The 16399-nt window shown below is 37.6% G+C and overlaps 1 annotated feature.

Annotated features, from left to right (window-relative positions):
* Positions 1-502: an enhancer, noted in NCBI's record as "H3K27ac hESC enhancer chr9:27788871-27789372 (GRCh37/hg19 assembly coordinates)". NCBI's record gives its function as "activates a minimal SCP1, AML or CMV promoter by ChIP-STARR-seq in naive H9 embryonic stem cells {active_cell/tissue: H9 hESC(naive)}" and the evidence as "EXISTENCE:reporter gene assay evidence [ECO:0000049][PMID:30033119]".

Raw genomic sequence — 16399 nt, forward strand, 5'->3', positions numbered from 1 at the left:
AATTCAAGCCCATTGCAGAAACTTGCATAAGTAAACAGTAGCTGAAGAGTGATAGCCAAGACAATGGGAAAATTACTCCAAGGCATTTCAGAGACCTTTGTGGCAACCATTCCCATCACAAGCGTGGAGGCCTAGGAAGGAAAAATGGTTTGTGGGTCAGGCCCAGGGCTCTGCTGCTCTGTGCAGCCTCAGGACATGGCCCTGCATCCCAGCTGCTCTAGCTCCAGCTGTGGCTAGAAGGGATTCAGATACATCTCAGGCTGCTGCTCCACAGGGTGTAAGCTGCAAGCCTTGGCAGCTTCCATGTGATGTTAAGCCTACAGGCGTGCAGAGGGCAAGAGCTGAGGCTTGGGAGCCTCCACCTAGAATTTAGAGGATGTATGGCAACACCTGGATGTCCAGGCAGAAGTCTGCTGCAGGGGCAGAGCCCTCATGGAGAACCTTTATGAGGGCAATGTGGAAAGGAAACACAGGGTTGGAGCCCCTACACAGAGTCCCCACTGGGGCAGTGCCTAGTGGAGTTGTGAGAAGAGGGCCACCATCCTCTAGATCCCAGAATGGTAGATCCATTAACAGCTTGCACAATGTGCCTGGAAAAGCTGCAGGCACTCAACGCCAGTTCATGAAAGCAGCTGCAAGGGCTGTACCCCTCAAAGCCATAGGGGTAGAGCTGCCCAAGGACTTGGGAGCCCACCCCTTGCATCCGTGTGTCCTGAATGTGAGTCATAGAGTCAAAGGAGATTATTTGGGAGCTTTAAGATTTAATGACAGGGTTTTGGACTTTCATGGGGCCTGTAGCCCCTTTGTTTCAGTCAATGGAGCTCCTTTTGGGACAGGAGCACTTATCCAATGCCTGTACTTCCATTGTATCTTGGAAGTAACTAACTTGTTTTTGATTTTACAGGCTCATAGGCAGAAGAGACTTGCCTTGTTTCAGATGAGACTTTAGACTGTGGACTTTAAAGTTAATCCTAGAATGAGTTAAGACTTTGAGGTACTGTTAGGAAGGCATGATTGTGTTTTGAAATGTGAGGAGGACTTGAGATTTTGGAGGGACCAGGGGTGGAATGATATGATTTGGCTCTGTGTCCCCACCCAAATCTCATATTGAATTGTTATCCCCAGTGTTGGAGGTGGGGACTGGTGGGAGGTGGCTGGATCATGGGGGCAGTTTCTAATTGTTAATCACCATTTCCCTATTGCTATCTTGTGAGAGAGTTCTCACAAAATCTGATTGTTTGAAAGTGTATAGCAACTCGACATTCACTCTCTTCCTCCCTGCTGGCCATGTAAAAGAAGCTTGCTTCCCCTTTGCCCTTCTACCATGATTGTAAGTTTCCTGAGGCCTCCCCAGAAGCAGAAACCTGTACAACCCGTGGAACTGTGAAATTTCTTTGTAAATTACCCAGTCTCAGATATATCTTTATAGCAGTGTGAACTAATACATAAGTGTAAAAGGTATTAAGAAATTTTTGAACTAACATTTCCTAGACTGTGAGTTTTTTGAGGGCATGTGCTATGTCTTATCAATCCAATTTTTCTTTCACTTATCCAGCCAACAAATACTTTTTTCATCTTATTTCTGAATTCTCAGCACCTTGCACAGAGCCTTGCACATAATAGATACTCTCCTGTGTTGTTGAACATATGAATGAATGAACAATTACTAGTCACTCAATGTGATAGGTAATATTAAACGTCAACTTGATTGGATTGAAGGATGCAAAGTATTGTTCCTGGGTGTGTCTGTGAGGGTGTTGCCAAAGGAGATTAACATTTGAGTCACTGGCTGGGAGAGGCAGACCCACCCCTCAATCTGGGTGGGCAACATCTAATCAACTGTCAGCATGGCTAGAATAAAGTAGGCAGAAGAAGACGGGAGAAGCCAACTTGCTGAGTCTTCTTGCCTTGATCTTTCTCTTGTGCTGGATGCTTCCTGCCCTCAGACATCAGACTCAAAGTTTTTCAGCTTTTTGACTCTTGGACTTACACTAGTGGTTTGCCAGGGGCTCTTGGGCCTTTGGCCACAAACCGAAGGCTACACTTTCAGCTTCCCCACTTTTGAGATTTTGGGACTCAAAGTGGTTTCCTTGCTCCTCAGCTTGCAGATGGCCTCTTGTGGGACTTCACCTTGTGATCGTGTGAGTCAATACTCCTTAATAAACTTCCCTTCATATATACATATATCCTATTAGTTCTGTCCCTCCAGAGTACCCTGATTAATAGTCTCATCAAGGCTTATTTTCCTCTATAGAGGCTTCCTTAAAGTTCTTTTTGTAGAAGTATGTTGAGAAATTATTTGACTATCCCTCGGCTCCAAACATAGTACTTTCCAATCCAGTGACACTTAAATATTTATTTGAAGAAAAACTTAAAACTGTCAAATGGGTAATAGTTGGGGAGGAGAAAGCTTAGGTCTGATAGCATGGAGGTCTTCAATTAACTAAAAGACTGCGTATGGGAGAGTCTCATTTTATATTGTTGGAAGGGTTTTAGTGAGGGCCAGTAAAAAGCTTCCAGGAGATTTCAGTTTATGGTCTAAGGAAGTCCTAAACTGCTTTGGGAGACAAACATTTCTACTCACTGGAAGTGACAGCTGGGTAACATGTTGAACAAGCTGAGGAGAGCATTTCAGCCTCAGATGGGTGATTAGAGTAGATGACTCATAAGGTCTCTTGTAACCTGAGAATTCTTTAGTTGAATGAAGGATAATACTGTCCCCCAACTAATATTCCATTTGAGTATAAGCACCAGCCATTTTAAAAATGTAAGTCTTTCCACAGCCTTTCTGAAAAAAAAAATTCTGTCCATATTCCCAAAGACTCAGGTAAATGAAAAACTAGGGAGAAATATTACTTGGAAAATACACCAATTTTCTCTGATTTCTTTCAATAGTTTAAGAAAACACTTAAGTTTGTCATGGTTTTAGCCAGTCTAGTATAAATTGTTAGTTGGTACTGCTCCTCCCAAAAGTGTATGTGGATGTGTGTTTGTTAGGGGAGATAGGGATGGTCTTAGGGGTTGGAAAGTTCTTCAGAGGGGAAAAGTCCATTTATATTGGTATTTATGGTTCTGTAAATAAGAAGTTACATGAGGCTAAGAGCTGTTGCTTTCTTTCCTTGACGAAAGACTTTTTCTACCCATCTATTTAAGCTCATGCATGTTAAATAAAGAAAAATAATTAGCTTCTGTGTGAATATGTTCAGCATATTAATCTAATTATGTTCGGAAGAACGTCATGTGAGTTTTGAGTTAATTATTAGCCAACAATATATGTCAATTCTTAATATTTAAACTATTATTCATTTGCAAATGATTATAAGCAAAAAAGTTAGTTATTATTGCTCAAAAGGCAATATTAAAAAGAAAGTAACATTATTATTTATAAAGTTCTATTCAAGCTCAATTTCTACATTAAATTGTCAGTGAAGAATTTAAATGGACTGCACTTATGTTTATTGCACAGCATAAACCATATAAGCAGAATAATCCCATGTGCTTCAAAATAAGTACCTACTAATGTAAAAGCACCTAAAGAAATACCTAATTATTTTTTATGAACTCATAATGGTACATGTAGTGTTTCATTATTTTATTGCTTCAATAATCAATTATTCTTTTACTTGTAAACTGAAAAAGGACATTGATGCAATTTCAGTGAAAACCATTCAAATTCAAACTAAATTTACTCACGTAATGAAATCAATGAATAAAGTATTACAAAATTAGAGAGATCTAAGGGAGCCAAGAAAAAGCAAATATAAATAGTCTCCTGGAATTATTCCAAAAGGTAGAAAATTAAGAAAATCCACACTTTTCAGTTGCAAAGACTAGTGCAATAGGAAGGAAAAACAACTACATGTGGCTTTGTGTTTCTGAGTAACAACTGTAATTGCTGACAGTTTTGATAAATGTAACAAACAACTTGATATAACTTAATAATCAAAAATACATATAAACAATATAAAAAATAATTATTTGATAGAAGTCTTCTACATCTTATTTTTCATTATACATCATTTATTATTTGTTTAAAAATGTCTTAAACATATATTTTTGTCTTTGTAATGAATTAAAGATACAGTGGGAAAAATTCAAGAAAGATTTCTGTTGGTAGTTTTGGTGGAGTAGCTTATTGCAGATCATTGCTATCAGTGAAGATAATTAAAAATGCTAATTTAAAAATCTGTTTAAAGAAATTAGAGAGCTGTTAAAGTAACCAGGTCTACAAGGGCCAAGATTGTGGAGAAAGGGGAACTGCAGACAGGTGATCTAACCTTCTGCAGCCACATTTGTTTCCTGGGGACATTTGCTTATTGGGGGTACAGGGCAAGAGGCTGAGAACCCATGATTTTCCTAGGCAGAGGGACTGTGTTGAGGATTGAGGATTGAAGTAACCAATAGAGTTTTGGCAAATCTTGTGGGGCTGGAGAGGCAAAATTGGAGACTTTGGAGTCCAAGATCCCAAAGAGAAGGGAGGAGTGGAGAACTGAGCCTGATAAAGGCTCGTTTCTGTTTTAATATGAATTTTGAAACTACAAGAAGCAGGAGGCCATGAAACCAAGCAGAAAGCCTCTGAAAAACAAAGCGAGTTATGTTAGCAGCTTCAAGGCACTGATGTGGAAAGATCAGAGTTTAGGAACTACCAAGTGAAATGGCCCTGGTGAATGCACTGATCTCAAGTCTGAAACCTAGGAAGCTCACACCCTAAGAGCAGAGGTGAACTAAAGGAAAAGGAAAATGAAGCCTTATCAGAATTACCAACCAGTTCTGATTCAACTCAGTAGTAGAGGAAAGAAAAGTAATTCATGTAGGCTCTCTCTCTCTTTTTAAAGATAATACCTAACATTTAATAAAATATTCCTAGCATGCCAAGATACAGGACTATAGCCTAAAAGCTAAGATTAAAAAACAACAATAAAAATCAACACACAACAACAAAAAGAGATGAACAGGTGATTTAGCTATTGGAATTAGTAGAAGGAGGACTTTATAATATGCCCCCAAGATAGAGGGAAAGATTAACAAAATAGATGAAGAGATGGAAGGACCGGGTGCGGTGGCTAATGCCATAATCCCAGCACTTTGGGATACCAAGGTGGGTGGATCATGAGGTCAAGGGATTGAGACCATCCTGGCCAACATGGTGAAACCCCATCTCTACTAAAAATACAAAAAAATTAGCTGGGTGTGGTGGCACACACCTATAGTCCCAGCTACTCGGGAGGCTGGGGCAGGAGAATCACTTGAACCCGGGAGGCAGAGGTTGCAGTAAGCCAAGGTCATGCCATTGCACTCTAGGATAGAGTCAGACTTTGTCTCTAAAAAAAGATGGAAGACTTCATCAAAGAATTGATATATATATAAAAGAATCAAATAGATATTTTATGTTAAAAACTCAGTAAACTAGGTATTGAACATATCTCTAAATAATAAGAGCTATTTATGACAAACCCATAGCTAATATCATACTGAATGGGCAAAAGCTGGATCTTCTCTCTCACCCCTCCTATTCAACATATTGTTGGAAGTTCTGGCCAGGGCAATCAGTCAAGAGAAAGAAATAAAGCATATTCAAACAGAAAGAGAGGAAGTCAAATTGTTTCTGTTGGCAGATGATGTGATTCTGTATTTAGAAACCCCGTCATCTGAGCCCCAAAACTTCTTAAGCTAATAAGCAACTTCAGCAAAATCTCAGGATACAAAATCAACGTGCAAAAATCACAAGCATTCCTTTACACCAACAATGGACAAATAGAGAGCCAAATCATGAATGAACTTCCCTTCACAATTGCTACAAACAGAATAAAATACCTAGGAATACAACTTACAAGGGACATGAAACTACCGCTCAAGGAAATAAGAGAGGACACAAACAAATGGAAAAACATTTCACGCTCATGGATAGGAAGAACCAATATTGTGAAAATGGCCATACTGCCCAAAGTAATTTGTAGATTCAATGCTATTTCCATCAAGCTACCACTGACTTTCTTCACAGAATTAGAAAAAACTACTGATCCATGGTGGTTTGCTGCACCTATCAACCCGTCATCTAGGTTTTAAGCCCCACATGCATTAGATATTTGTCCTAATGCTCTCCCTCCCCTTGACCTCCATCTCCCCACAGGCCCCAGTGTGTGTTGTTCCCCTCCCTGTGTCTGTGTGTTATTATTACTAAATTCTCACTTATAAGTGAGAACATGTACTGTTTGGTTTTCTGTTCCTGTGTTAGTTTGCTGAGAATGATGGTTTCCAGCTTTATCCACGTCCTTACAAAGGATATTATCTCATTCTTGTTTATGGCTGCATAGTATTCCATGGTGTATATGTGACACATTTTCTTTATCCAGTCTATCATTGATGCGCATTTGGGTTGGTTCCAAGTCTTTGCTATTGTAAATAGTGCTGCAATAAACATATGTGTGCATGTGTCTTTACAGTAGAATGATTTATAATTCTTTGGGTATATACCCAGTTATGGGATTGCTGGGTCAAATGGTATTTCTGGTTCTGGATCCTTGAGGAACTTCCATACTGTCTTCCACAATGGTTGAACTAATTTACACTCTCACTAACAGTACAAAAGTGTTCCTATTTCTCCACAGCCTTGTCAGCATTGATTATTTCCTGACTTTTTAATAATTGCCATTCTGACTGGCATGAGATGGTATCTCATTGTGGTTTTGATTTGCATTTCTCTAATGATCAGTGATGATGAGCTTTTATTTTCTATGTTTGTTGGCTGCATAAATGTCTTCTTTTGAGAAGTGTCTGTTCATATCCTTCGCCCACTTTTTGATAGGGTTTTTTTCTTGTAAATTTGTTTAAGTTCCTTGTAGATTCTGGATATTAAACCTTTGTCAGATGGGTAGATTGCAAAATTTTTCTCCCATTCTGTAGGTTGCCTGTTCACTCTGATGATAAGTTTCTTTTGCTGTACAGAAGCTCTTCAGTTTAATATGATCCCATTTGTTAATTTTGGCTTTTGTTGCCATTGCTTTTTGTGTTTTAGTCATGAAGACTTTGCCCATGCCTATGTTCTGAATGGTATTGCCTAAGTTTCCTTCTAGGGTTTTTTATGATTTTGGCTTTTACATTTAAGTCTTTAATCCATCTTGAGTTAATTTTTGTATAAGGTGTAAACAAGGGGTCCAGTTTTAGTTTTCTGCATATGGCTAGCCAGTTTTCCCAGCACCATTTATTAAATAGGGAATTTTTTCCCCATTGTTTGTTTTTGTCAGGTTTGTAGAAGATCAGATGGTTATACATATGTGGTGTTGTTTCTGAGGTCTCTTTTCTCTTCCATTGGTCTATATATCTGTTTTCGTACCAGTACCATGATGTTTTGGTTACTGTTGCCTTGTAGTATAGTTTTGAAGTCACGTAGCGTAGATGCCTTCAGCTTTGTTCTTTTTCTTAGGATTGTCTTGGCTATATGGGCTTTGTTTTGGTTCCATATTAAATTTAAAGTACTTTTTTCTAATCCTTTGAAGAAAGTCAATGATAACTTGATGGGGATAGCATTGAATCTATAAATTACTCTGGGCGGTATGGCCATAAAATATTTTTTAATCCAAATAGCTCAAAAAATGGTGATGTAATATTATGTATTCATTAATAAAAACGAAGATGATTACATTCATTTTTGTTGAAAATACTTTTCAAAAAATATATCTTCTTGGGAAAACTATTGCTATTACCTCAAGGGATGTGAACAATATCTTCATCTTATTGGATGTTTTTACTTCATAATACATGTAATTTGGAGGCACTTTTCCTTGGCGGCAATAGCACATTTAGTTTTTCATCCATTGAAGCACATTTATTGATTTCCTCCTATATACCAGACACTGCTAGATTAAAAAAATAAGTGTAAACAAAACAAACATATTCAATGTCCTTATAGAATTTAGTGTAAAATGGGAATATAGACATTTACATGTAATTGTAACAAATATGTGTTTTACAAAAGGACAACTTCAGGGTGCTCCAGTAATAAACAGCAGAATGGAGTATAAGGAAGGGTGATGACGATGTCCCCTAAAGAAGACAGAGTATGAGGGAAAATTTCTACGTGAATAGAGATGGGGGAAGGATATGTATATTTTGAAAGAGATGACTGGATTCAACAAAGCCTATTTCACATAATCTTAAAGCCTCATGCAATAAAATTTCAAAAAAAAAACCAATTTTTTTCTAGAAATTTAAGGTGTTAATATACATATGTTATCCTTCCATAGGAAGTTTGACTGTGTAAGCTAGTGAATGGTTCACATGTCATATAGATATAAATTCCATCCTGATAAACATACTCATTTTTTGAAAGGATTTTAGAAAATTTATTGATCAGAAGTCATAAGAATGTTACATCCTAAATAAAAAAAAATCTTTAAAATTTGATTTAAGAAAGGCTGTGTTGAAAATACAATTTGCAAATATCTCTTTGTTTTAAAAAGCAGCATATCGTAGGCTATGAAATGAAAGTGAGAAATGTGCAGGTACAAATGAAGGGAAATATTCCACATACTACATTCTAGGGCACAGTGTGGGTGGATGTCACACCTGACCAAGCCCTCTGGGCTGCACAGTGTGAGGGTACTATTTACTGTCACTGAGACCAAACAGTGCTGTCAGCTCGCTCATAGTTCTGGCAACAAGCTTCGGTAGATCTCAAAGATCTCAATGCAGCCAGAATTCACAGGACTAAGACCTAGTATAACAGCATGACAACAAAACTCACATAACTTCAAAATATCAAACATTTTTTTTTTTTTTTTTTACTTTTTAGAGTCTTCAGGTAGTTGTTTTTTATATTTCGTCAAGTAGTTTTACTTATAATCAGAGAATAATATAGGCCACAGTGGAGTTTTCCTTCAATGCTGGGGGAGAATCTCTACTTCCTTTTGAAAAATATCCAGGGGCAAGCTGAAAAATACCTTTTTGTTGTCTGATTACCAAGAAAATGAAGAAGGCTTTCTGATTTGGAGAGGATGGAGGAGGAAAATAATTGTCATATGGGCTCTGGGAAGCCTTAGGGAAGGGGGAATATAAAAGATTCAGGCACAGCTTTGCCTTTGACTGCTTTTCCTATTTCTTCTTCCCGTCTCCAAAGAAATTTACTGATTTTTGCCTGTGAAACTATTTAAAGAAACTCTGAGCCCTGCATTTTCACAAAGGATATAAATTTGTTCTTCCAAAAAGTCTATTGCCCAAATTTGAAATTGTTCATTCAGTTGGTATATTGCCCCTGCAGGACTACTCTTTCATTCTTAGGGTGGGAATTGATTTTTCTTCTCTTATTTGTCATGTGAGAGTACTAACTATATTACAACATCAGAATTTTCACACATTATTTAAAAACCTGTTCTCGACGTGAGAAGGTCTCGCATAGGCTTGTCTATACCAATGTGTAAAAACCTCAGGTTGCCTTTAAAATTGCGAAGGCAAGCTATGTTCCTCATTAAGTACACAGACTAATATCTGGAAAGTGACAGCTTTCTACAGACATTTTCCAGAATTTGAACTTTTCTGTATTTAAAGTGATTTTACCCTAACCCCTAAGTTTCTGCACACAAATTAATGGATCCTTTAAATCTATAAGTATAATATTGGCTTATAAAAATACATCTAGACATTTAAAATTATTGAGGATGTTGTTGAAATTTATTTGTATAAGTAAATGCTTTTTAAATAAGCATGTCTAAATATTTATACTCACTTGTTTGCGCAAATTCCACATACATTAAAGTTAGAATGACAATTTAAAAACTGGTTTTGGAATTGAAATACTAACTGATCTATACTTTTAGATTTATCTTTACATATTCAAATCTATGTTCTATTCAGTTCCTTGTCCACCCCCTTCCTCCCCACTTCCTTTGATTTTCAACTTTCAAAAGGTAGACTATTCAAACTTTTATCTGTTCGTAAAAAAACATGGAGATATCCAAAATGGAAAATTAAAAAATAAAGTATGAAGGCATTTCCATAGTATTATTTTTTGAAACGGCTTGTATGAATATAGCACAGACTGGAATTCACAAAAAGAAGGGTCAGAAGATGCACAGGTCTCCTGGCCTCTCAAACTAGTGTTCCTGATCACAGCTGGACACATCCTGGGGACAGGATTGTATCTAGAAGGGTGTTTCCACCCCTTTGCTGTACATTTTTATAGTGCAACTGTTAGAGTAGCCTTGCCACTGGAGACAAATATTTTGAGATAGACTGCCAAATAGTCTGGGCTTGAGTGCCAGCTGCTTATAGGAATTACTAGAGTCTTTGGGAGACATTGAAGTCAGGTATAAACCTTCCTTCTGTGGGGAGGGCAGCCCCTAGTCTCAGCTAACTGATTGCCAGTCAACCTAGAGAGAACTGTCAGGGGCTTTAGACAACCCCGCTTATCCTTCAATACCTATTTTTAACAAACTATTAATTTTAAAAATAATTTTAGACTTACAAAATCCGGTCAGGAGTATGCTGTATTAACATGTCTTTAAAGGTTGGCTTACTCCCAGTGCTGGTTCTTGATCAGAATTATTTGAGGTCAGGGATTTACCTTTATACCATCCATTGGACTTAGCACAGTGACTTGCATGATGGAGACATTCAGTACATATCATGAAGTTAATGAGCAAATGAGTATCACTGCCTGAAGCTTACTCATCATGACCTAGCCTAATGTTTCAGCATGTCAATACCATTTTTAGAATTCAGGTGGTGTCCTGATGAGTCTTTAGTTTCACAACAATATAAATTCATAGGCAAAAATGGAAAATAGTCCATGCTTTTTTTTTAAAGTGAAATCCAGTAAGTAAACTATAACTTGAGCCATTCTTCATACATAATACAGATTCTGCTAGATATTGCCACCAGCACTACCTCCTCCTCCTTTTTCTTCTTTTTTAAGGAAAAAGCTAACTTAGTGAGATTATCAAGAAGTTAGATACTCAACAAATTTCACTTGGCCCCTCCACTTAAATGGATGAGATGTGATTTAGATTTTTTCAATGATTCAAGTTACAAATGTGAAGAGATGATGGGTGAGCTAAGTTAGGATGATCAAAAACACTGCTGAGATTTCTCTTTCTGATAATTGGGTATATACATTTGTAAATGGTGTTGCTGTCTCTGCCCAAGACATGCTCTCTCTCTCTCTCTCTCTCTCTCAATCTCTCAAAATCAACAGCTCTGTCAAAAACATTTGGAAAGAAGCTCCTTTGAAAGGAGTAAACAAGGCAGTGAACCCATTAGAAAATCTGTTTCCAATATAGAACTCACTATCTACATATAACTATTAAAATAAAATAAAAATTCAATTTCTCAGTCATACTAACCACGTTTCAAATGTTCAATAGTCACATGTGGTTAGTAGCTACTATATTGGACAGCAAGAACATTTTCATTATCTTAGAACATTCTATTGGACAGGGCTGCATTTAAAGCTACTTGTGGGACATTTGATGTCATTTGAGGACTAAACAAATGATTGTGAAATCAAGCATTCTGAGATCAAGCAGATCTGTCATTTGGTTAAGTTTCAAAATTGTAGTTTAATTCTGCTTAGGTTCAATCTGAGTAAATAGTCATAATGGGTGTGAACTACTCTAAAGAGTCCTTTCTACTTGAATAATACCAACTTTTCCATTTGCAAGGCCACTTGCAAATGGACAAATTTCCAATGTAGGTCTAATATTCCATAAATAAATTTGTGACTTTAGTCTATTCCAATACTGTTGCATTCTTCATGGTTCATTGTAGTTACATACTGTGCTTCAGTCTCACTTATAGCTCTACATTGCTGTATCTTTACAATGTTGTTTCTGGTCCATAAAGATTATTTTTCAAGCCCAGCTATCTTTTTTACTTTACCTTTTCATATTTTTATCTATTATTGCCATGTGTTTGGAAAAGGATGGTGGTAGTGGGCAGGAATATACATGAAAGCATTAACTTACTACACCATCTGTTCAGAGAAGAGTTGATATAGCACTCTTGCGATAGCTATCTTTAGAGTCCTGCTTTCAAGGTGATTTTTGGCTGGCATCTGGGAACTTGGCTGTCAGAGCAGTGCACATCAACAGTTAACTGATAAGGTTGGTTGACTGTGCCTAGACTATACTAGCAATACGATTATGCTAAATACCTGTGTTCCTTTTGGGAGACTGGAATTTTGGTATGTATCAGGCAGAGTGCCCATGTGACAGCCCCCAATAAAAATCTTGGGCACTGAGTCTCTATAGGCTTGCTTGAGCAGACACACAATATGCATATTGCATTTTCATTGCAGGGGAAAGTGTACTCTGTATGACCCCTCATGGGAGGGAAGAGCCTAAGCAAACCTGCTTATGGATTGCTCTGAATGCATATGTCCCCTTCTGATCTGGCTGTTTATCCTTAGTACTTTGCTGTAATAAATCTTAGCCATGAGTAAAACTATTTCTGAGTCCCATGAATCCTTTTAGTGAATGTCTAAACATGGGGACTCTTGACACATCCTCTTGAACAGAATTTCCATTTTTATTTTTAAAGGAATAGTAAAACAGCTTTTATTATGGGCAGCTAATAGGTCCCAATGCTCAAACTGAAACAGACTTCAATTCCTCAAACCTCGAATGTTATGGGAGGTTATATGAGGAGGTTACAGATAATGAAGTAACACTTAAAATATATGTCGAGGTACCTGGCACATAGTAGGCATTCAAATAACATTACTTGTATTTTTTTCCTTATTCCCTCCAGTCCCAGCCCCATTAGAATGCAATGTTTTTTTAAGCTGGTGGGCATCATGACATATTTATGTTGCCTGTTTTCCTACTTCCGTTTTCTTCGCTAGAAAGCATACAATATATTTAAAAATTAGATCATTAACCAGTTTTGTTCTTTTGGCATCTGGTGTTTGAAGCCGTTTCAGTTTTCATTCCAATTTTTTTTTTTTTTTCATAATGTTCTTTCCAGTCGAATCTCACTTGCTCTTTCTAAAAGGAAAACTATGAAACATAGAGAGAGAGAGATCATTTCATGGTTTCAAAGCCAGCAGGGTCAAGCGAGAGAACTCATAATTGAAGTCTAAAATGTGTTTCTTTTTTCTTCTTTATAAGCAAAAGGGAAGAGAAGAGGCCATGTCCTGAGCCACTAGCACTTCTGTTGATGGAGAATGGAAGATAATGAGGCAATTACTAAAGCTTAGATTTCAGGTCAGGGATGTGTGGGAAAGCACATAGGCACTTATAAGGGAAATAAGTCCTCAAAGAAATGTCCTTTTCCTAACACTGGGCCCAGTGACTTAAGTTTTTAGCTGCCTATTTTATCGTAAAATGTATACAATAAACATGGTCCATAGTCAGGTCACTGGCCAACTGGTAACTGAAATGTAAGTGAGAAGGCTAAAGGCTTGCAGGGTGATTCTCAGCCCTTGGGAAAAGACATATGACCTCTAAGTGTACAGTTACCATTGGCTATCTTCCACTTCCACCCCTTCCCACTTGTATAAGCCTGCTTCTCAGTTTTGAACTTGAGCCGTATCTTCAATACGATCCCACTGAATACTGATATCTCCATGTAACAGTCTCCTAGGCATCTCAACTTTGCAGAGAAGAAAACTGAAATGAATTCAGAGATGAAAGTTACCAATTTGTTGTGAATACCTCTTATGCATCACTTGCAATGCTGAGGATGTCTATGAATACAATCTTATTTGATTTCATTCCATGTCTGAGATATCCTGTTACGCCCCTGTAGAGGCACTGGTCCTGGCAGTAAATATTCATGGGGTAAGAAAACGCCTCAGTTAAGAATCTTGGGATGTCCCTTCAGTGGTGCACTGCCTTTGTAGTGATTGCGTGGATCAAAATGGTGACTACTGGCCATCTTCCAGCTTTGTGAAGCAGTCCCATGGAGGAAATGGGAGGCCTTCATCTCTGTCCCTATGCCATTGCTGGACAAATTGTAAGTAACTTTCAGTCAGCAGACAAATCACTCAATCTAGCTCTCCATTTCCAGTGTGGCTTCTTTGATGAAGAACACAATTATAAAAGGGTCAGAAATAGTAAAACTCAGTACTCCAGAGTTCCAGCCCAACAAACACCTGGAGACCATTTCCCAAGTCTGAGGCTGTCTGATAGTTTTTGCTCCTTATCTGTTTCCCCAGAAGAAGCTGCTGTTTCTTCTGGCTTCCTCCTTACCTATTCACATATTGACCGTTCTGATGCTAGACACTTCTAAGCCCTGTAGCTTACTTCAGATGTTATTATCCCTCCTCCAAATGCAAAATTGCCAGACATTCTACTTCAAAGAACACTGGCCAGGAGCATGTTTCGTTATCTACCATTCTTCACACATGCAGCCTGCAGCACATCCATTCTTCCTCAGTGAAGATCTTTATTTTCACACATTATGACTCATTGGCTCAAAGAAAAGAAGAGGGCAGATTCAGGTACAGGAAAAATTTTTTTAAAAAAATGGTTATGTGACTCGATGTAGCTCTAAGCATATTTAACATAAAATTAAAATTGTACATCTACAGCAGCTGTAGAATTTTCACAAACCATAAGTGTCTTTGGATCCTAATATACCACCCTGAGGACATCTTTGATATAGTTAAGTTTAGATAGCTCTAGAAGGAATGGCACAGAGTAAGATTTGTTGACTATCTACTATGGTTTCATTACCTCTCAGATTGTAGCTAAGTACACATAAATGATGAGATTTGGTTATTCCATCTGAGACTATTACCTCAACTGTCTATGAAAATAATTGTGTATGAGTAGAAAAAGATGATGCTCTAGATTAAGGTGTTGTTTCTTTAGGAAGTGCTGTACTAACATTTTTAAATCAGTGGGATCTTTTTTCCTCAGATCAAATACTAGTAAGAATTATAAAACAAATACCACTGGACCCGTTCTGGATTACCTCTAAATAAAGACAGAGCTGGACCTTAACTCTTATTCTGTTTCCTTGGAGGGCCCTGAAATAAGACTCCAGAACTCTGAGGCTTCGCGGAACATAGGAGACTCTATGATCTGGTAGAAAAAGGACAAATTCTCAAGTTATGCAGTCTAGGAGTTGGAATCCCAGCTCTCCTGATAATACCTCTTGATTTCAGCAATTTATTTAATATCCGTGAAGATCAGTTTTTTCAACTTCAAAAAAAAAAGGCGAAATAGGATATATGTCAAGAAAAAGCTGTAATGAGTACTATATATAAATGTGATGAGCAGCAGGTATTTAACAAATCTAAGTTTTCTTTCCCTCTTTCTTCAAGTAAGGTCCTTCCTTCAGGTTAGAATAAAAAGGAAGAGCTTTTGTGAACATGTAAGAATAATATTTCGTAAGGAGATTCTGAGTGCTGCCTTGGACCTCCTTCTGGGTCTAAAGATTGGTTTAGATAGAAGTAGAGAGTTGGCCCAGAAAGCACAAGAATGAGAGCTGTTCAGGCTAGGCAAGGAATGGGAAGAGGAAAGCTGGAGATGGGAGGGAGAGCTAACATGGACCAACTGAAGTCAAGTCTAGTGAGGGTTTCCTTATATTGCTAAGCACAGAGAACAGGGAAAAGAATCTGGACCAAAAAAATGTACATCACAGATTGATGTCTAATGGAAGGGATCCTAAGTAGTTTGTAGGGGCATTTCCAAAATAAATTTCACTAGTTGAGATTGAGTATTGAAAAGATAGACAAATTGTGTCATGGAATCACAGAACTTCCAGGCTGGAAGGGAATTTTTCTTTCTTTTCGTTCACTTCCCTTGGTTTGTAGATGAGGAAACTGAGGTTCAGAGAGGTTAGGTGACCAGTACAAAGTCTCTTAGCAAGTTAGTAATGGGACTGATTCTGGTATGTTTCCTATGTATATTGCCTACTCCTCTAGACTCTCCCCTTATTTCCAGGTCAGACTGCCTTTCATTCCACAGTTATAATCACAGTGACTGATTATAACTTTCATGGCCTAGAATGTACATTCTCAAGAAATTCTGTTTCACACATACCGAACTCTCATCCACTAAACATATCTTCTGATCTTTTCTAAAAATCAGCACATACAATAAACCTAACTACTTCAAATAAATTAGTGGCATGTTAAAAGCAATAACCTCTTACACATGAGTAGCAAATTTACATTAAAAAAAGGAGTTTTGATAAAGGATAGAATCACATTACAAACTCCTTGTGAAAGAGGGACTATGGCAGCCTGATCAGGAGTAGGAACATTAAAATACCTCCCCAAGTTTAGATCAAATTCAATTACAATCAAAAATAGATTCTGGCTAAATCAGAAAAAGCACAGAGGTTTGTTAGTTGTTAGGTTTTGAAGGGAAGGTGAGGATTAAAGACACACACACAGAAAGAGGGCAGCTCAACAGCAAATGCAGGCTTTATGTCCAGCATAAAACCTACAGAAAAG

The sequence above is a fragment of the Homo sapiens genome, chromosome 9 (assembly GCF_000001405.40).
Source record: "Homo sapiens chromosome 9, GRCh38.p14 Primary Assembly".
NCBI classification, from domain to species: Eukaryota; Metazoa; Chordata; class Mammalia; order Primates; family Hominidae; genus Homo; species Homo sapiens.